Genomic DNA, 21,367 nt, shown 5'->3' with positions numbered 1-21,367 from the left:
AAAACCAGCAGGGAAAAGAAATTCACTCTGACCCTCCCCATTTTCTTCCTGAAAACAAGAGATAAAATCTCCATTTGGAAGATGTCCTTCCAATATCAGGAGGAAAGTAACACTCTTATCAACAATCTAAATGTCCATCTAGGCATGAATGGATAAAGAAAATGTGGTATGTACACACAGTGGAATATTATTCATCCTTTAAAAAGAAGACAGACAGGCACAGTTGCTCACATCTGTAATCCCAGTTACTCGGGAGGCTGAGGAGTGCTTAAGCCCAGGAGTTTGAGACTAGCCTGGCCAACATAGCAAGACCTTGTCTCTAAAAAAAATGTTGTTTAAGGCTGGGCGTGGTGGCTCACGCCTATAATCCCAGCACTTTGGGAGGCCGAGGCAGGTGGATCACAAGGTCAGAAGTTCGAGACCAACCTGGCCAATATGGTGAAACCCTGTCTCTACTAAAAATACAAAAATTAGCTGGGCACGCACCTGTAGTCCCAGCTACTTGGAAGGCTGAGGCAGGAGAATTGCTTGAACCAGGAAGGTGGAGGTTGCAGTGAGCTGAGATCACGCCACTGCACTCCAGCCTGGGTGACAGAGTGAGACTCTGTCTCAAAAAAAAAAAAAAATTTGTTTAAACTTTGCTGGGAATGGGGGTGTGCACCTGTAGTCCCAGCTACATGGGAGGCTGAGGTGGGAGGATCACCTGAGCCCAGGAGTTTAAGGCTGCAGTGAGCTATGATCATGCCACGGCACTCCAGCCTGAGCAACAGAGTGAGAACTTGACTCTAAAAATTAAAAAAGATGGTCTCGCTGTGGGGGAGGAAAAATCAATTCCTCTACCCATCTTACGTTCTCAGCTGGGGCCTTGTAAATTAGACTGACAAAAGACAGATTAACATAACAACAAAAAAGATTAACAATTGAAAAAACAAATAGAAGTTGATTAACATATGTACAGAATACGCAATATGGAGTACCCAGAGAAGAGTAACTCAAAGGTTTGTTTTGAACTTGTTTTTATATGGCATCTTAGCAAAGGAACTATAAATTTTTAGAGAAGTGACAAGACAAAGGAAAAGGACCTTGAGTCTCTCGGGGCAGCAAATTGTGGGAAGGAAAACATATAGTAACAAAAGATAGATGAAAGTTAATTGGCTGGGTGTGGTGGCTCACACTTGTAATCCCAGGACTTTGTGGGGCTGAAGCGGGCAGATCACCTGAGGTCAGGAGTTTGATACCAGCCTGGCTAACATGGTGAAACCCCATCTCTTCTAAAAATACAAAAACATTAGCTGGGCGTGGTGGCGGGGACCTGTAATCCCAGCTACTTGGGAGGCTAAGGCAGGAGAATCACTTGAACCTGGGAGGTGGAGGTGAAGGTGAGCCGAGGTCACACCATTGCACTCCAGCCTGGGCAACAAGATCGAGACTCTGTCTCAAAAAAAAAAAAAAAGTTAATTATATGAATTGGGTCATTCTTGTCATGACCAACTAAAAAAGTCAAGACCAGGTGCGGTAGCTCAGCGCTTTGGGAGGCTGAGGCAGGAGGATTGCTTGAGACTAGGAGCTTGGGCAATGTAAGGAGACTCTTGTCTCTACAAAAAACAAACAAAAAAATTAGCCAGTGTGGTGGATCATACTTGTAGTCCCAGCTACTTGAGACAATTGCTAGAGCCCAGGAAGTCAAGGCTGAAGTTAAGCTATGATTGCACCACTGCACTCCAGCCTGGGCGACAGGATATCTTGTCTCTAAAAATTTTTTTTTAATTATAAAAGGGCATTTAGAGGACAGGAAGAAAAAGCACACAGGGCACAAAACATTGCTCCAAGAATGCAATTCTTGGCAAGCTTGACTGCTGAAACCGTCGTTAAAACCTGAAACCAGTTTTATCTAGTAGCTACTGAAACAGCTGCTAAGACTGTAAGATTAATTTTACCCACTGCAACCACTCACCAATCAGAGTTTGCCCCCTTCCCAAAACTTTACTAGCGCTGATGAACATTCTTTCAAAACAATATGTAACATTTCTCCTTTTTATAAAACTTCCAACCTTCTCTTTGTTCTTTGAACGTACCGAAGATCACCCTGTCTCTGTGGACGACCTGGAATTGCAATTCTTGCTTCCCCCAAAAAATGTTAAATTTGTCTCTATATTTTATTTGACTTAAACAGTAGATAAAGCCTAGTTTGTACAGTTTGGTATGTAGATTTCTCTGGTGCCATGTCCAGGCCAATAAGGATCTAGAATTGTCTCTGGGGATTAGCCTTTGTCCTTCCTGAAAGAGGAAGAAGAGGAGCAAGACTATCTTCTTTTTTATTTTTTTAAAGCCGAGGTCTCACTCTGTTGCTCAGGCTGGAGTGCAGTGGCGTAATCATAGCTCACTGCAACCTCAAACTCCTGCACTCAAGCAATCCTACCACCTCAGCCTCCCAAGTAGCTGGGACTACAGAGTCTTGCTCTGTTGTCCAGGCTGGAGTGCAGTAGAGTCTCGCTCTGTTGCCCAGGCTGGAGGGCAGTGGCATGATCTCCACTCACCACAGACTCTGCCTCCTGGGTTTAAGCAAGTCTTGTGCCTCAGCCTCCTGAGTAGCTGGGATTATAGGCGTGTACCACCAGGCCTGGCTAATTTTTTTTTTTTTTTGAATTTTTAGTAGAGACCGGGTTTTGCCATGTTGGCCAGGATGTTCTCAAACTCCTGAGCTCAAGAAATCCACCTGCCTTGGCCTCCCAAATCACTGGTATTATAGGCATGAGCCACTGCATACTGTTTGCTGCTTTTTTTTTTCTTTTTTTGAGACAGAGTCTCGCTCTTGTTGCCCAGGCTGGAGTGCAATGGCATGATCTCTGCTCACTGCAACCTCCACCTCCTGGGTTCAAGCGATTCTCCTGCCTCAGCCTCCCAAGTAGCTGGGATTACAGGTTCCCGCCACCATGCCCGGCTAATTTTTGTATATTTAGTAGAGACGGGGCCTTACCATATTGGCCAGGCTAGTTTTGAACTCCTGATGTCAGGTGATCCACCCACCTCGGCCTCCCAAAGTGCTGGGATTACAGGCGTGAGCCGCCATGCCCAGCCTGTTTGCTGCTTTTTAATTGCCTTTAGCTCAAAATAATTTTTTTTTTTTTAAGAGACAGAGTCTCGCTCTGTTGCCCAGGCTGGAGTGCAGTGGCGCGATCTCGGTTCACTGCAAGCTCTGCCTCCCGGGTTCACGCCATTCTTCTGCCTCAGCCTCCCGAGTAGCTGGGACTACAGGCGCCCACCACCACACCCGGCTAATTTTTTTTATTTTTGGTAGAGACAGGGTTCCACCATCTTAGCCAGGATGGTCTCTATCTCCAGACCTCGTGATCCGCCCACCTCTGCCTCCCAAAGTGCTGGGATTACAGGCATGAGCCACTGCACCCCGCCTAGCTCAAAATAATTCTTATTTCAAAGAGGTGTATTTTGGGGTGACATATTTTGGTTTTCTTCACTGCAATATGACAACCTGGAGGACATTATCTTAAATGAAATAAGCCAATCACAGTGCTTACTGGAATAATTCCATTTATGTGAGGTATCTAAAATAGTCAAACTCATAGAAGCAAGAAGTAGAGAGTGGTTGTCAAAGGCTAAGGGGCTGGGGAAATAGGAAGTTGCCATTCAACTGGTGTAAAGTTTCATTTATACAAGGTGAATAACTTCTAGAGATCTGTACGTCGTGCCTATTGTACACTTAAAAATCTGTTAAGAGGCCAGGCGTGGTGGTTTATCTTATAATCACAGCACTTTAGGAGGCGGAGGTGGGGGTGAAACAGGAGAGTTCCCTGGCTCCCCTTGCAGGACACTCAACAGGGGTGTTGATCTCTGTTCAGCTGCCACAAGCTCAAACCCCTTATAGGAGCGGGAGGATACAGACAGGCAGGTGCAGGAACCAGAGTGAGCGCTTTTGGGCTCTGGCCCCAGGGCAGCTTCTAGGGGTGGTGCTTTGACTCCTGAAGCCCCAGTAGGCATGCTACAGTGCTCTTTTAACTCTGCCATCCACAGATGGCTTAAGTGTTAACCAGCTCAGTGTCCCCTTGGTACCCGGGCCCTTGTCCAGCACCCAGAAAGAATCAGGTTACACACAGACTTGAAGAGTGGTGAATATGGGGGTTTTATTGAGTGGTGGAGGTGGCTCTCAGCAGGATGGATGGGGAGCTGGAACGGGGACGGAGTGGAAAGATGATCTTCCCTTGGAGTTCAGCAGTCCTGTGGCAGAACTCCTCTCCAACTGTCCCCAGCTGGACTCCTCTAGATATTCAGATGCTCCTTCTCTGCCATGCCGTTCTTCAGTTCTTTGGCTCTTCTGCTCATCTCCTCATGGACCCAGGGATTCGGGGTTTATATGGGTACAGGATGTGGGGTGTGGCGGGCCAAGATGCAACATTTGGGCACGAAAACAGGAATGCCTGTTCCCATTTGGGGCCTCGGGTTTCCAGGCTTGAGGGTGGGGCTTTTGGCAGGTAAATAAATCAAACAAAATAAATAACTTTCCAGTATTTCCCCGTCTCCTGTTCATATCAGGAAGATTGCCTGGGTCTATGAGTTTGAGACCAGCTTGGGCAACATAGTGAGACCTCTGTCTCTACAAAAATAAAAATATTAGCTGGGAGTGGTGATGTGTGCCTGTAGTCCCAAGTACTTAAGAGGCAGAGGTGGGAGGATCACTTGAGCCTGGGAGGTCGAGGCTGCAATGAACTGTGGTCATGCCATTGCATTCTACCCTGGGTGACAGAGTGGGATCCTGTCTCAAAAAAAGAAGAAAATCTGTTAAAAGGGTAGATTTCATGTTGTGTTCTTACCAAAATAAAATAAATTTTAAAAACAAGAGGCAATAAAATTTTTTAATTAAAAAGTTAAAATTTATTTTTTTATTTTGAGACAGCATCTCACTCAGTTGCCCAGGCCAGAGTGCAGTGGTGTGATCTCTGCTCACTGCAATAGCTGGGACTACAGACACACACCACCATCCCCTGCTAATTTTTTGTATTTTTTGTAGAGACAGGCTTTTGCCGTGTTGGCCTGGCTGGTCTTGAATTCCTGACCTCAAGTGATCCACCCACCTCGGCCTTTCACGTGCTGAGATTACAAGCATGAGCCACCACGCCTGGCCTAAAATAAATAAATAAATAAATAAAATTGAAAATTTTATTTAAAAAATTTTGGCTGGGCGCAGCAGCTCACACCTGTAATCCCAGCACTTTGGGAGGCCGAGACAGGTGGATTGCATGAGCTCAAGACCAGCCTAGACAACATAGCAAAACCCCATCTCTACAAAAAATACAAAAATTAGGTGGGTATGGTGGCACATGCCTGTGGTCCCAGCTACTTGGGAGGCTGAGGCAAGAGGATTGCCTGAGTCCGGGAAGGTCAAGGCAGCAGTGAGCTGTGATTGTGCCACTGCAAATACCAGCCTGGGCAAGTAAGACCCGTTCTCAAAAAATATATATATATTTTTAAATAAAAATGGCTTGGCCTACAGAGCTTTCATGGCAGATGGAGAGAGCTGGTTTTCAAAATATTCTGTTTTTAAAAAGTACACAAGTGACTGGGCATCACCATGCTCACGCCTGTAATACCAGCACTTTGGGAGGCTGAGGCTGGCGGGTCACCTGAGGTCAGGAGTTCAAGACCAGCCTGACCAACATGGAGAAACCCTGTGTCCACTAAAAATAAAAAATTAGCCAGGTATGGTGGCACATGCCTGTAATCCCAGCTACTCAGGAAGCTGAGGCAGGAGAATCGCTTGAACCCAGGAAGCAGAGGTTGCAGTAAGCCGAGATTGCGCCATTGCACTCCAGCCTGGGCAACAAGAGCGAAACTCTGTCTCAAAAAAAAAAAAATAATAATAATAAGAACACAAGTAACAGATTTCTAATATAAAAATAAATCAAACAGTACATAATGTGATCCTCTGCCTCTCTTCCCCACTTGTGGATGGCACTCTCCCCATGAGTACCCCTAGTGATAACTGCCATCTGTACTCATTAAGACATTTAAAAATGCATAAACGTTTTAAAATGTAGATTCTATTTTTATTCAGGTATGATAAGGCCAACAGATCAGGGGACAATTGCCATTTAAAAGATAGCTTATTACTCCTCGTTCCCAAGAGGAGAGGTCACACCTGCACAGCCACGGGAGAGAACACTGAGGTTGGTCACAGGCAGAGGACAGGAGAACTGTGGTTTTCGAGGGAAGGAATGGGTGAGGCAGGGTAAGGCGGCTAAGCAGGTGGAGGACTAGCTAGTTGGAATAGTGTCAGCTGACTCCTGACTGTAGACTGCACTGAGTTGTCTGATATATGATGTCAGGGTGATTAGGGTAGAGAGATAACGGCCTTGAGTATGAAAGTCCAAAAAAGGAGGGATTTGGTGGTAGGGCTCTAGATTGGTTAGTTTGCATCTCAGGGATCAGCTAATCCCAGGAGGTGTAGTCTCTCCCTGGTCAACAAGGCCCCAAAATGTCAAAGCATCAATATGGAAACTAGAAAATATGGGTAATACCACATAAAAAAATATCTTAGGTTATTTTCCAACTTTTCCTAATCACAAATTATACAGTAATAAAAATCCTTATATAGATTTTTGCATGGGTGTATAATTCTGTAAGATACTTAGAAGTATAATTTCTAGATTAAAGGATTTACATATTTTAAGTATGTAATTTAATAAATTACAATTAAAATTTAATTTAATTCCCCCAAAATGAAACATTTTAACGATCCCAGCAATAGTATATGGAGAGGGTCCTTTTTCTCATACTCTCAGTAATACAGGATTTTATCAGTCTTTTAGTCAACTTGGAGAAAGAATGTTAGCAGTCAGCCACTAACAAAAACTAAGCTAATGTGAAAATGTTAATATCAGACAAAAGAGAATCAAATGCAAAAAGAATTTTAAAAGGCAGAGTGATATTTAATTTTTATGTCACCCTCTACCAAGACAGTTAAATGACAATACGGCTTCATGTGTAATTACACAGTTGCCGATGGCAATTTTACATGGTTTAAATTTAATATCTAATTATATAGCTTCAAAACGTGTAATGCAAAGACTCAAATACAAGGAGAATTTGCTAAATCTGTACTTGTCATAGAAATCTTCAAAATACCTCTTTCAAAGATGGTCAGATCAGGAAGAATAAACAAAGATAAAGAGGATCTGAATTAATATAATTAACAAATTTAGGCCGGGTGTGGAGGCTCACACCTGTAATCCCAGCACTTTGGGAGGCTGAGGTGGGCAGATCACTTGAGGCCAGGAGTTGGAGACCAGCCTGGCCAACATGGAGAAACCCTGTCTCTACTAAAAATAGAAAGACTAGCTGGCCATGGCAGCGGGGGTGCCTGTAATCCCAGCTACTCGGGATGCTGAGGCATGAGAATTGCCTGAACCCAGGAGGCAGAGGTTACAGTGAGCTGAGATTGTGCCACTGCACTCCAGTCTGGGCGACAGAGCAAGACTGTCTCAAAATAATAATAATAATAATAATAATAATGAACAAACTTGACCTACTAGATATAGACAAACAGAATATCACTTTCTTTGAGAATTTCCATGGTGCATTTAGTACCTACCAGAACACACACACGAGCATCTTAGATTAACTGAAAAAGTAAGTTGTCCAAGAATAGTGATTAACCACAGATTAGGTTATATCCTAAGGAAAGTGTCCATAGAAAGGGCAGGATATTTCAAGCAGGCTTTGCAAACAGAAAAGCCAGCCCCAACAAAGAATGCCTCCTATGTGTCTTCTGCTGAGGACTCCCCTTGGACTCCAGAGCCCCTAGGCCCCTGTGTCTTGTCAGCACTCTGCTATTTCAGGGCTAAGGAGCTCAGGCTTCTCAGATGTGGCCTGGGAAACACAGTCTTCTAATCCAGGAGAGTAAGAAGATTTAGGACTGACGTGGGTGCTGTTAGAGAAACCCATCTCCTTGGGTATATGGGAGATACCCCGACTATGCAGTCGCCCCCTTCAAATCTTCCTTGGGGGCCTGATCTGACTGACGTCAGGGGGTGCCTACTCCTTCGAGGCAAGAAGCCTGAACTTTCCTTCCTGTCACTGTGAATACTTGGCCAGGGCTGTGAATGTCACCATTGCTTTTCAGGAAGAAGACATGGCAGACTAGGGCTGCACCTTCTTTATGGGCTCTGTAGGTCTGAAAGAAATCAGATCAGCCTGGGATCCCTCAGCCAACTCTGAAGACAGGATGGGGATCACGCCTGCATGTTAAAGAGATTTCTGCCTTGTTGTGTCTCATGGTAAATAAAAAACCCAGCAAAGAAGGTAAGAACTTTCTGTCTAGCCTAAAGTAGAAATGGGTGAGAACAGGAGGGCGACACTTATGTTTTTACCTAGGAAATAAATACAGAGTTGTTTTGAGACAAAGGTCAAAGACAGCTCCTCTGTTATCTATCAACTCATCCAGATGGGGTCTTTGCTATCTGTGTGATGAGATCTTCAAGTGCTGGGTGACCATTCTGCCCTGGATTTCTTGGGCTCACTTAGTGGACAGATAAACACTTTTTTTTTCCACCTAAGAGACAGAGTCTCACTATGTTGCCCAGACTGGAGTGCAGTGGCTGTTCATAAGTGCAATCATAGCACACTACAGCCTCGAACTCCTGGGCTCAAGCAGTCTTCTCACTTCAGCCTCCTGAGTAGCTGGAACCACAGGCATGCTGCACTACCACCCCTAGCTAATTTTTGTTTTTCATGATAATGTGAGGCATTGATGATGCTAAGTCAAATTCTAGAAGGAGAAGGGGTCTCACCCACGTTGGGTGGATGTACTCATCACCTGGAGAGATGGCTCAGCTTGGGAAATCATCAGGGGGAGAAGACAGCTGGTGATTACCAAAGGTGCTGATTCAACAATCTCGGGCTCCCTCAAGCTCGTTTTCTGTGGCTGACCTTATGAAGTTTTCACATTTTTAGTTTTTCCCTTGAGAATTATTCTACTTCCCCTTTCTGTTCATTTCCTTTTTTTTTTTTTGAGGTGGAGTCTCGCTCTGTCACCCAGGCTGGAGTGTAGTGGCGAAATCTTGGCTCACTACAACTTCCACCTCCCAGGTTCAAGCGATTCTCCTGCCTCAGCCTCCCAAATAGTGTAGCTGGTATTATAGGCATGTGCCACCATGCCCAGCTAATTTTTGTATTTTTAGTAGAGATAGGATTTCACCATCTTGGCTAGGCTGGTCTCGAACTCCTGAGCTCAGGGGATCCAACCGCCTCAGCCTCCCAAAGTGCTGGGATTACAGGCATGAGCCACGGCACCCAGCCATTTTTCTTATTGATTTCTAGAATGTTCTCTGCTTGTCCGTAGATGACTCCATCTTCTTCTCTTAAGCAGCCATATGGGATACCTATTTAGTCAGAGCCACTTTCTAATTTTTCTTATGTGTAAAAATTTTAGAAAAATATCATTTATTGATTTTTAATTACAAAAGCTGTAATAGAAGTATATAAGTTAAAAATGGAAATCTCTCACCCAACCTCTTTCTCCAGAGGTAATTACTGTTAATAGCTTGGTGTATAGTCTTTCATTTTTATATACTTACTGACTTTTTTTATACAGATGATATCACACTAGGCGTGCTCTTCTGGAATTTGCTTTTCTTCATGTAACAATATATCTTGGGGCCGTTTTCATATGATTACATATCGACTTGCCTTGTTCTTTGTCATGGTGGAATACATTCCATTGTTTTTAAAGCATCATGATGTATTTTGTTGATTCTTTACTGATAATTATTTAAGGTGCTTTTTATCTGAGGAGGAGAAGAACTTTAAGAGATTTTTGAGGATGTCATTTAAGAAAATTCCTTATCTATGTTTTTCATGACGATGACAAACATTTGCAAAGTACTCCTCATATATAACCTCACTTCACACTCCTAACAACCCTGTAATGACGTTACCATTATCCATAAATAACAGAGAAACAGATGAGACCAGGGAGCCCCAAGGCAGGGATCACATGTGCCTTTGCTGTTATAATGGTAGCTAGGTACCCCTTTTCCCCTTCCACATGACATAGGAAAACATATCCTTTTTGTCCTTGGTGACAAAAGGTCACCAAGAGTTAGTTACAACTACCTAATGGGAGACTTCATTTCTTTCATCTCTTGTGGTTGTTCTAAATAGTTTATTGGCCCATGATAGATATCAACTTCCTTACTCTAGGCAATGCTATATTTCTATCTCCAATAAATTCTTTGTAGGTCATCTTATTCTGCCACCATTTTTGAATTTATAAATTCATGAGAAAAAAAGTTGCCTAAGGGCAAAAGAGGATTTATTTAATAAAAATCTTTGACCCAGCAATAATCAGTATCCATCCTGCTGATTCATGCAGCATTGAAATAGTATGCCTTTTACTGCCTCCAAGAACATATTTTTGGTTGTTGATATTTTAAAATAAATATGACATCAGATTCAGTCCATCAACATATATTGAGGTTTTATTGTATAGAAAGCACTTTAAATATATCATTTATGATCCTTGAAGATACATAGATGAGAAAACTGAGTCTCTGAGAGCTTAAGTGCCCAAAATTGAGTGAGAAGGTGAACAAAAATTCTCACCCACATCAAACACTCTTAAATACACAACTTGGCTATGCAGGCAAGTTACCAATGTATCAAAGCAACTTGTGAGTCATTGACAAGCAGAATCATTGCTGAAGTCCCTTCTAGTTCTAAAACTGTGCAAATATTTAGGAGCAGTTTTGTTGGTTTGGACATGATGGCTTCTCACTTTACCCCAAACTCAGATTCTGGTATCATGACATCTCATAGAACTAGGAACCATTTTGCACACAAAAAGAGATCACAGTCTTTTTTCCTCTGGTTGTTTATTCAAAATAAACTAGCCAACATAAGCAAGGTAAGACTTTAATTTTGATTTTCAGAGAAAAAGACAACAACTCTTTGATAATCCCCAGTATCACAACCTTCAAAAATAGCGGAGGAGAGTGGGGTAGAAATGAGGTAGAGAAAAGAGTAAAAGAAGTGGGATTCGCTCTTGATGTTAAGTCAGTACATCTCACATTACCTCCTGAAGAAGAACTAGAGAAAGTGTCATCTTTGTTGTATAAAAAGAAATATGGCATAATGATCCAGCAATCCCACTACACTTTGGGTGTATATCCAAAGGAAGCAAAATCAGTATTTTGAAGAGACAATTGCATACTCATGTTTATTGTAACATTATTCACAATAGCCAAGACATAGAATCAACCTGTATGCCCATCAGTGGATGAATGGATGAAGAAAATGTAGTATATATGTACAGTGGAATACTATTCAGCCATAAAAAGGATGAAATCCTGTTCTGTGTGACAATATGGGTGAACCTGGAGGACATTATGTTAAGTGAAATAAGCCAGGCACAGAAAGACAAATACTGCGTGATCTCACTCATATGTGGGAGCTAAAAAAGTTGAGATCATGGAAGTTGAGCATAGAGTAATGATTACTAGAGACTGGGGAAAATAGAAGGAAGCAGGAGATGAGGAAAGTTGATTAACAGGTACAATGTTACAGTTAGATAGAAGGAATAAGTTCTGGCACTCCATTGTACAGTACCATGACTATATCTAACAATAATGCATTGTATATTTCAAATAGCTAGAAGAGAGAATTTTGAATGTCCTCATAACAAAGAAATAATAAATGTTTAAGGTGATGGATATGCCAATTACTATGCTTTGATCACACAATGTATACATGTATCAGAATATCACATTGTATCCCATAAATATGTATAATTATTATGTGTCAGCAAAAAATAAATAAGGCATAAAGTTTATTCAGTTAATATTTATGGAATCCCTACTACATGTCAGGCACTGTGCTAAATCCTGGGGATAAAATGATGAATTTGCTTACAGTCTTTCTCTGAAGGAACTCACAGTCTAATAGTAGAGAGATACAAGATTAAAGACTGTAATATGGTATTGCAGTGATGGAAATGTGAACAGGATATTCAGGAGCTCAGAGGAGGAGCAGGTCAAGCTGGCTTCTTTAAGGAAGGTGATACTTAAAGTGAGCCTTTAGCAATGAATAAAGTTAGCCAGCTTAAGAGAAGTGGGATAGAAAGAACATTCCAGGTAAGAGCAGAAACACAGAGGTCATGGTAGTTAAAGCACAGAGTTTGAAGAAAGGAGAGAAGAGAGACGAATGTTGGGAACAAGCCCCCCAAAATCTGGCCGTAAACTGGCCCCAAAACTGGCCATAAACAAAATCTCTGCAGCACTGTGACATGTTCATCATGGCCATAACGCCCATGCTGGAAGGTGGTGGGCTTTCCAGAATGAGGGCAGGGAACATCTGGCCCGCCCAGGGCAGAAAACCGCTTAAAGGCATTCTTAGGCCACAAACAATAGCATGAGTGATCTGTGCCTTAAGGACATGCTCCTGCTGCAGTTAACTAGCCCAACTTATTCCTTTAATTCGGCCCATCCCTTCGTTTCCCATAAGGGATACTTTTAGTTAATCGAATATATACAGAAACAATGCTAATGACTGGCTTGCTGGTAATAAATACGTGGGTAAATCTCTGTTCAGGGCTCTCAGCTCTGAAGGCTGTGAGACACCTGATTTCCCACTTCGCACCTCTATATTTCTGTGTGTGTGTCTTTAATTCCTCTAGCACCGCTGGGTTAGGGTCTCCCTGACTGAGCTGGTCTCGGCAGACGAGGCTTTTGGGGAAGATTTGTTGTTGTTGTTGTTGTTTTAGGCAGAGTCTTGCTCTGTCGCCCAGGCTGGAGTGCAGTGGTTACACATCTTGGCTCACTGCAACCTCTGCCTCCCAGGTTCAAGCCATTCTCCTGCCTCAGCCTCCCAAGTAGCTGGGATTACAAGTGTGCACCACCACACCCAGCTAATTCTTTTGTATTTTTAGGAGAGATGAGGTTTCACCATGTTGGCCAGGCTGGTCTCAAGTGATCAGCCCACCTTGGCCTCCCAAAGTGCTGGGATTACAGACATGAGCCACTGCACATGGCCTGGAAGATGGGTTCTGTTTGGAGTCTGAGACACCCCAATCAAAGTGTTTAGCAGGGAGCTGAATATGTGGGGCTGAAGTTTAGGGATCATCTGGGATGGAGACAGAGATCTAAGAGGTAGGAAGTGATAGCTGAAAATGTGAGAGTTAATTAAACCAGCCAGGGAGCATATACCACGTGAGATCAACAGATATTTGAGACTAGAATGCAAATAAAAATCAACATATAAGGGACAGACAGAGGAAAATGAGCTCAAGAAGCAGAGACAGTAAGTAGTCAGGAAGATGGGAGTAAACATAAGAGTTTAGTATCACAGAAGCTCAAGGTGTAGAATTGAAATAAAGGTGTGGCCTGGCCAGGCGCAGTGGCTCACGCCTGTAATCCCAGCACTTTGGGAGGCCGAGGCAAGCGGATCACAAGGTCAGGAGATAGAGACCATCCTGGCTAACACAGCGAAACCCCGTCTCTACTAAAAATGCAAAAACAAAATTAACCGGGAGGCTGAGGGGGTGAGAATGGCGTGAACCCAGGAGGCGGAGCTCGCAGGGAGCCAAGATTGTGCCACTGCACTACTCCAGCCTGGGTGACAGAGAAAGACTCTGTCTCAAAAAAGAAAGAAAGAAAGAAAGAAAGGTGTGGCCTATGGAGACAGATGGCCTTGCTGTTCTGGCAAGGTAAGGACTGAAAAGATGAAGACATTAGAGGCATCAGGAAAGGCTTTGATCAATAGTGAGGATGAAAAAGGTGATTTTGAGAGGAAGTAAAGAGAAAACTGTAGTCTACCCTTGAGATAAATCTGGATGAGAAGACAAGAGAGGTTGGGTGACAGTTAGAGGAATATAGGAGGTCAAGGGAGGAGGAGGTGGCGGATGAATTGCTTTGAGAATGCAAAATAAGAGATTTCAGTATGTTTCTAGACTGAAAGGAAAAGGCAGTGGAAAGGTTGAAAACGGGAGACCTAGGGAATGACAAATGGAGGGAACTCTCAGGGGAGGAACATCTTGTGCACTTAGACTGGAGAGGTGGAGAGGATACTCTCACATGATTCATAGACAATTTGGCCCACCCGATTTAATACTCTGCCTGCATCTCCTATTACAGATTCTCTCTTCATTTTGTCAGCAAACAGCTCACTGTCCTCTGGATCTGCTGCGTCCTGCAGGAGCATTGCGCTTAAACTATGGGAAGCGGCACCTCCACCCAACATCATTTTGCTTTCCAGAATGCAGAGAGAGGTACGTGTTTCCCACTTTCCAAACCAGCTGTGGGTACCACAAAGCCCATATTGCATGGAGAGGGTTGGGGGTTCTGAGGGTAGAAGCAGAAAAACCCTTAAATTTCTCCTCAGGCCAGCTCTTAGAGGTCAGCTTCTCCTCCTTGTGACATGCCCACCAAAATGTCCAGTTGAAGTATATTTGACAGAATTAACATTCGCTCAGGAAGTTAGTGTTGTCCATTGGGGTTGATCCCAAACTACCCAGGTACAAATGAATGAAATAAGGTTGGGCAAAGAGGGGATGAAACACATTCCAGGCAGAGGGTAGAGCACGTCCAAAGGTCATGAGGTGGGAAGAAGGAAGCATGAGCTCCCTCTAGTGGCCAATCTAACAATTTTTTTTTTAAAACAATAGGCCAGGAGTTGTGGGTCACACCTGTAATCCCAGCACTTTAGAAGGCTGAGATGAGAGAATCTCACCTGGGCCCAGGAGTTTGAAACCAGCCTGGACGACAGATCAAGGATCCTATCTCTACAAAAAAAAAATTTTTTTTTTTTGAGGCGGAGTCTTGCTCTGTCGCCCAGGCTGGAGTGCAGTGGCACGATCTCTACTCACTGCAAACTCCTCTTCCTGGGTTCAAGCGATTCTCCTGCCTCAGCCTCCCGAGTAGCTGGGATTTCAGGCGCCCGCGACCACGCCTGGCTAATTTTTGTGTTTTTTGTAGACACTGGGTTTCACCATGTTGACCAGGCTTGTCTTGAACTCTCACTTCAGGTGATCCGCCTGCCTCGGCTTCCCAAAGTGCTGGGATTACAGGCGTGAGCCACCGTGCCCAACCTAAAAAATTTTTTTTTGTTTTTGAGACCGAGTTTCCCTCTGTGGCCCAGGCTGGATTGCAATGGCACAATCTCGGCTCACTGCAACCTCCGCCTCCTGGGTTCAAGCGATTCTCCTGCCTCAGCCTCCCAAGTAGCTGGGATTACAGGCGGGTGCCACCATGCCCGGCTAATTTTTTGAATTTTTAGTAGAGACGGGGCTTCACCATGTTGACCAGGCTGGTCTCGAACTCCTGACCTCAGGTGATCTGCCCGCCTCGGCCTCCCAAAGTGCTGGGATTACAGAAGTGAGCCACCATGCCCAGCAAAAAAAAAAAAAAAAAAATTAATTAGCTGGGTGTGGTGGCGAGCACCTCTGTAGTCCTAGACACTCAGGAGCCTGAGGTGGGAGGATTGCTTGAGCACAGGAGTTCAAGCCTACAGTGAGCTATGATCATGCCACTGCCCTCCAGCCTGGGTGACCGAGTGAAATCATTTCTAATATGGTAGGGATATCAACTGTGATATAAATTGCAAATATTTTTTCCCAGTTTGTCACTTGTTTGGACCAATTTTGGAATTAGCTTCAGCTCAGGGTTTCCTTATCTTGTGAATAACACGAATTCAACCCACACACGCCACAGGCTGAGACTTTCTATCTCACTGAGTTCTAGGTCAGCTCAGCTCCTGCTACCACAGGGGCCGGTAGGCAGAGATTTATTAGATCACGCAAGGTACAGAAACTTCCCCAGCTCCTGCCTTTTCACAGACAGTCCAGTTACCACTCCCTGCCATGCACAGAACCCAGGAACTCACTCTCATCCCCATACAGGTGTTAAACCCCAGCTCCTGAGACATGTGTCTGGTTGAGATTCCCCTGGGGCCTGCCTGACTTCAGTGCCTCTAACTGCCTTTGGCTATGGGTTCCGTCTTCATTTCTGGCACCCGGAGATCTCCCTTCAATGCTTTTGATTTCAACTATTGGTTAAAAAGAAATTTAGCTTATTTTATGCAGCTTTTCTTAATGTGTTGGAGTGTGAGGGAGTCCTACATCTGCTTAAGCATGCCATTTCTTATTGGAAGTCGATATTAGGCTCTCTATTTTCCTTAAAGGGATGTCATAATTCATTAAGTTTTTATTGCACCTTTTGGCAAGCTTATACTTCCATTACAGAAAGGTACTTCTTCCTAGAGGCATCATTTTTTTCCTTTAAATCAGTGTTGTATATAGAGACATAAATATTCTTGACAAAGATAATAAAAATAAGAGGGTAACCATCAAAAAAATTCTCTGTTCTATCTTTCTTAAATAATTTACCTATTCTCCCATACCCTACTGTGCATTGCCTTGGTTCACAATTTTCTCACAGTGTTGTTATATGTAGAGTTTTTACAGCCCAGGTGTATTTGTAACTTGTACCCTAATAATTTAGTTTACACATGGCCCAAGTAAGAGGGGCCTATACATTTTTGCATTGTGCTATTAAAAATACATGATGGGATAAAGGATATTAAAAGATCCTGCACTTCCCAGAGCCCATCTCAATTGAAAGCAAGCCAGCTCCCCACCACACCCTACCAGATAGTCAACCGGGAGGAAGAAAAAAAGAGGGAGAATGAAAGGTGTTGCCCACTTCTGCTGCCTGAGTAGCCAAAGCAAGACTGAGGATGTAATACGTATGTCTCATCATTGGCAGCACTGGCCATAGAATGCTCAGGGCAAGGTGTTAGCAGACAACATTGATGTCCATGATCTTCTTCAGTGGTCCTTAAACTTTAGCACAAGTATGAATTATGTATGGAGCTTGTTAAACCTTCAGATTCCTTCCTGGATTCCAGCGGTAGAGATTCTGATGTTACAGGTCCAGGGTGAGGTGTAGCAACCTGCATGTTTACCAGGAATCTCTAAAGAATCTGTAGCACCAGCCCTGGACCTTTCATTCACTATTCTCTTTTGTGTGTGAGTGTGTGTGTGTGTGTGTGTGTCAGAGTCTCTAGCCCAGGCTAAAGTGCAGTGGTACGATCTCGGCTCACTGCAACCTCTGCCTCCCAGGTTCAAATGATTCTCCTACCTCAGGCTCCCAAGTAGCTGGGATTACAGATGCCTGCCACCATGCCCAGCTAATTTTTGTATTTTTAGTAGAGATGAGGTTTCACCATATTGGCCAGGCTGGTCTTGAACTCCTCACCTCAGGTGATCCACCAGCCTCAGCCTCCCAAAGTGTTAGGATTATAGGTGTGAGCCACCACGCCCAGCCTCATTCACTATTCTGAACATGGTTTTACAGAAGTCAGTCAGTGGGGTTCAACCTCATCGCTTACTATTTAGTGAGTGCCTTTGAGAAATACTAGTAGTATGAATTTTTTTCATAGGAAATCAAATTTATCTTTGTTTAAGTTCCTCCCAGCTTCTCTTTTCCCATGTCACCATCATCTTTCCTCTTAGGGAAATCAGCAAGAATTCTATTATCTGTCTAATGCAAACGAAACATATTAAATCAATCTGTCTACTCTTTATGAGGTTGACCTGAGTCAGCCTGCAGGATTTCTAATCCAGCCTGCAGGATTTCTAATCCAGCTTTATCCACAAATAGTCCATTCATCACCAGCAGTGTATCTAAGCCTTGGAGCTTAAAAAGAATCTAGTTATGTGGACAGCTGTTCCCTTCTCTGGCAACAATACTTGACCACACAGGTCCTAAACCTTATATAAAGAATGAAACTCCACACCCTAACCTGCCCTACCTGGTCACCTAGCACAGGTCCTGGCAAAAATGAGAGGCCCAGTGGCCATGTGGGGGACTGCATGGTCAGTGCTGTCTATCTTATGACGGGGGTGCTTAAAGCCTGTAGGGATATCATGGAACTGGGGATGGCAAGCATGGGAGCTGGGACACAGTTGCTACCCCCTGACATCGTATGATGCATTCATTTGAGTATTCGTTTATTGTTTGCTTTTCCTAGTCTTCATCTGGCCCCGCCCCTTTTCCAGATGAGGACATTGAGGCCCCAGATGACTTGTCTGAAACCACAGAGCTTGTCAGGGCAGTTCTAGGTCTAGATCCCAGGTGTCCTGACATCCAGTCTATTGTCACAATATCAAAATGTCCACCCCACCCCCGCATTATAACCTGTCAGGGATGCTGCATCCTTGCAATCTCATGAGTTTACATCTCCTTCTCGGAATCCTGGCAGTCCAACCTTTTCATCCCTATACAGAAATGTTTTCATCAATACATGGGAATTCTAATCAACCTACAGTGATATGAGTATAACCATCAGGCAGGAATGAAGGGGAGGGGCAGGAAATGGGGAAAAGCACTATTGCCAGCAGAAAGGGAAATACTTCCTATGGGCGTCAATGGGTAGTGCTTCTGCTCCATCTTGTCCTCACATATACAGTGGGAGAGGGCTGAGCAGCTTCCTCTCCCTACCCCCAAACCCCTGGCCCAGGGAGTCCGAGCTCACAGGCTTGCTTCTCCATCGGTGTCATAGCCTTCAAGGCAGCAGCCCTGATCCAGAGATGGTACCGGCGCTACGTGGCCCGCCTGGAGATGAGGCGGCGTTGCACCTGGAGCATCTTCCAGTCTATAGAATATGCTGGGCAGCAAGACCAAGTCAAGGTACAATGAGATGTGGGACGGAGCCGCCTCCTGCTCTCCCTTGGGCAGCAGGGCTCGGGTGCTCCTAAAGTGAGGCCAACTGGACTACTTGTGGGTTCTCTTTTCGCTCACCTCTAAAGCCACGTCTCCTTGGGTTCTTCTGCAGCTCCATGACTTCTTCAGCTATCTCATGGATCACTTCATCCCCAGCAGCCACAACGACAGTGAGTATGAACTGCCACATGTCATGTCCTCCTGTCGCAAGGCCATAGATTACACGGTGAGGTGGGGGATGCACAGGGAGTGAAACCGTGAATCTGGTGACAGCCAGGGAATAAGCAAGGGGCTGAGGAGTAAATGGCAGACTGGGGTTTTATGCCAGGTTCTCCTGAACACACACCTGGAGACAAGAGTTTGGACGCAAGGAATTCATTTATTAAGTTCAAGAAACCCTGGGGGTGGGAGGGAGTGGGGAAGGGATTCAGGAAAGGAATCGCAGCCAGTCCAGCAACTCAGTGTGCCTAGGAAACAGTGCAAAACGCAAGCCTCAGAATTATACCCCCTGCAGGCAAAGGGAACTGGAGTTTTTCTGTGTCAACTCCAGGAGTCATTGGTTGAAAGCGGCTGGGGAGGTGGGAGAGAAGTATAGGAAGGAGGCTTTTTCTTTTCTTTTCTTTTCTTTTTTTTTTTTGAGACAGAGTCTCGTTCTGTGACCCAGGCTGGAGTGCAGTGGCATGATCTTGGCTCACTGCAACCTCTACCTCCCGGGTTCAAGTGATTGAACCTCAGATACCCAAGTAGCTGGGATTACAGGTGTGCACCAACACACCTGGCTGATTTTTTATATGTTTAGTAGAGATGGGCTTTCACCATGTTAACCAGGCTGGTCTTGAACTCCTGGCCTCAAGCGATCCACCTGCCTCGGCCTCCCAAAGTGCTGGCATTACAAGCGTGAACCACTGAGCCAAGCCAGGAGGTTGTTAATTCCATAGCATTTCTGGCCTGCCATCCGGATCCAGGAAATAAGTCCTCAGTCTGGAGATGCCAATGCTGGCAGCTGGAAGCTGCTGGAAGGCACTGCCAGGTCTGATGCACCTGTTGCGCTCACTAAATGCAACATAAATACCTGTGATTTTTCCACACTGGCTTTCCCCTTTCCTTCTGCTTGCAAATCCAGGTCCCTAAATTTCTGTACTCTCTAAGTCTGACAAATCTTGATCTTTTAGAATAAAAGTAGAAAGCATGACTTTTTCCTCCTGCCCATCCTAGACTGTTGTCACTTTCTCCTTCCTTTTTCCTCTTCTGTGCTGGAGCTGAAGCTGAAGCCAGATTAACCATGTCCTGCTTCAATAGTCCAGGGAAGGACTTTTTTTTTTTTTTTTTGAGACAGGGTCTCACTCTATCGTTCAGGCTGGAGTGCAGTAGTATCATCTCTGCTCATTGAAACCTCTGCATCCCAGGCTTATGTGATCCTCCCATCTCAGCCTCTTGAGTAGCTGGAACTACAGGTGTGTGACACCATGGCTGGCTAAATTTTTAAATTTTTTTTGTAGAGGCAAGGTTTCCCTATGTTGCCTAGGCTGTTCTCAAACTCCTGGGCTCAAGCAATCCTCCCTCCTTGGCCCCGCAAATTTCTGGGATTAGAGAGCCACCGTGCCCAGCCAAGGACTATTCTATAGTGCCCACAGACTGCATGATCAGATGATCATAAGCTGATCCACCTTTTCTATCTGGACTAGGGGACTTCCTGACCCGCATATTCACTGAGGACAGATTCGCCCAGGACTCCGAGATGAAGAAATGCAGTGACTATGAATCCATAGAGGTACCCGACAGTTACACGGGGCCACGCCTCTCCTTCCCACTCCTGCCTGACCATGCAACTGCCCTGGTAGAAGCATTCAGACTGAAACAAGTAAGCTCACCTGGGGAACCTGGGTCACTACCAACTCCATGAAATGTGTGAAGGGAGACGAAACCCAGCACAGAAAGAATGGCCCCAGATTTAGGGTGTTCATGTCATGTGTCCACTAGAGAGATTCTACCCCTGCTGTGCTTAGCCAGGACCTTGCAGTCAATCAGCCAGTTCTGATGATTGACAGCTTTTCTTCCTAATCACATAATCTCTCATTGTTCATTCATCCCACACATAACTACTGAGCACTGCTGTGTGCCCCACATTGCTCTGGGCACTGAGGATACAGCAGTGAACAAAACAGATAAAATCTCTGCCCTTATGGGGCTGGCATTCCATCGGGGAGGCAGACAATGAACAATAAATAACAATAAATAAGACAATTATGCAGTATATTAGAAGGCGATGAGAGCTATGGAAAAGAATAAACTAAGTTATGGATGGAAGAAATAGCAATTTTATAGAGTTGTCTGGGAAGGTGATTTCTGAGCAAAGATCTAAGGTGGTGAGGAATGCGCCGGAGAAAGAGCGTTCCAGGTAGAGGGAGGAACACATGGAAAAGCCCTGAAGCAGAAACTTGCCTGGACTGTTCACGAACCTCGGGAGGCCACTGTGGCTGGAGAAGAGGGAGCCAGGGGAAGAGTAATGGAGGTGAGGGGGTGGACTTTTATTCTTCCAAAAGAGACAGGGAGACAGCAGACATAGGAATGACATAATCTGACTTGTTTTTTTGTTTTGTTTTTTTGAGACAGAGTCTCGCTCTGTCATCCAGGCTGGAGTA

At 44.5% G+C, this 21,367-nt stretch overlaps 1 protein-coding gene across 2 annotated transcripts in view, besides 2 other annotated features; it reads left to right on the top strand.

Moving 5' to 3' along the window:
• Positions 27 to 948: an enhancer, noted in NCBI's record as "OCT4-NANOG-H3K27ac hESC enhancer chr4:76830748-76831669 (GRCh37/hg19 assembly coordinates)". NCBI's record gives its function as "activates a minimal SCP1, AML or CMV promoter by ChIP-STARR-seq in naive H9 embryonic stem cells {active_cell/tissue: H9 hESC(naive)}" and the evidence as "EXISTENCE:reporter gene assay evidence [ECO:0000049][PMID:30033119]".
• Positions 949 to 1,871: an enhancer, noted in NCBI's record as "OCT4-NANOG-H3K27ac hESC enhancer chr4:76829825-76830747 (GRCh37/hg19 assembly coordinates)". NCBI's record gives its function as "activates a minimal SCP1, AML or CMV promoter by ChIP-STARR-seq in naive H9 embryonic stem cells {active_cell/tissue: H9 hESC(naive)}" and the evidence as "EXISTENCE:reporter gene assay evidence [ECO:0000049][PMID:30033119]".
• Positions 8,091 to 21,367, top strand: part of PPEF2 (protein phosphatase with EF-hand domain 2) — a 42,586-nt gene continuing 29,309 nt past the window's right edge. Inside the window, exons 1-5 of one of the 2 annotated variants that reach the window (NM_006239.3) lie at positions 8,091 to 8,313; positions 14,160 to 14,272; positions 18,565 to 18,692; positions 18,838 to 18,895; positions 20,411 to 20,586. In NM_006239.3, coding sequence (NP_006230.2) covers positions 14,218 to 14,272; positions 18,565 to 18,692; positions 18,838 to 18,895; positions 20,411 to 20,586 — 417 coding nt within the window. In that variant the 5' untranslated portion in view covers positions 8,091 to 8,313; positions 14,160 to 14,217. Of the gene's footprint in view, positions 8,314 to 9,379; positions 14,273 to 18,564; positions 18,693 to 18,837; positions 18,896 to 20,410; positions 20,587 to 21,367 lie in introns of those variants that run through there. The other variant, XM_011532039.3, reaches the window with a different exon arrangement.

This window comes from Homo sapiens, chromosome 4 (genome assembly GCF_000001405.40).
Source record: "Homo sapiens chromosome 4, GRCh38.p14 Primary Assembly".
NCBI lineage: Eukaryota > Metazoa > Chordata > Mammalia > Primates > Hominidae > Homo > Homo sapiens.
The sequence above is the reverse complement of the archived record's forward strand: the minus strand, read 5'-3'. Positions and strand labels throughout refer to the sequence as shown.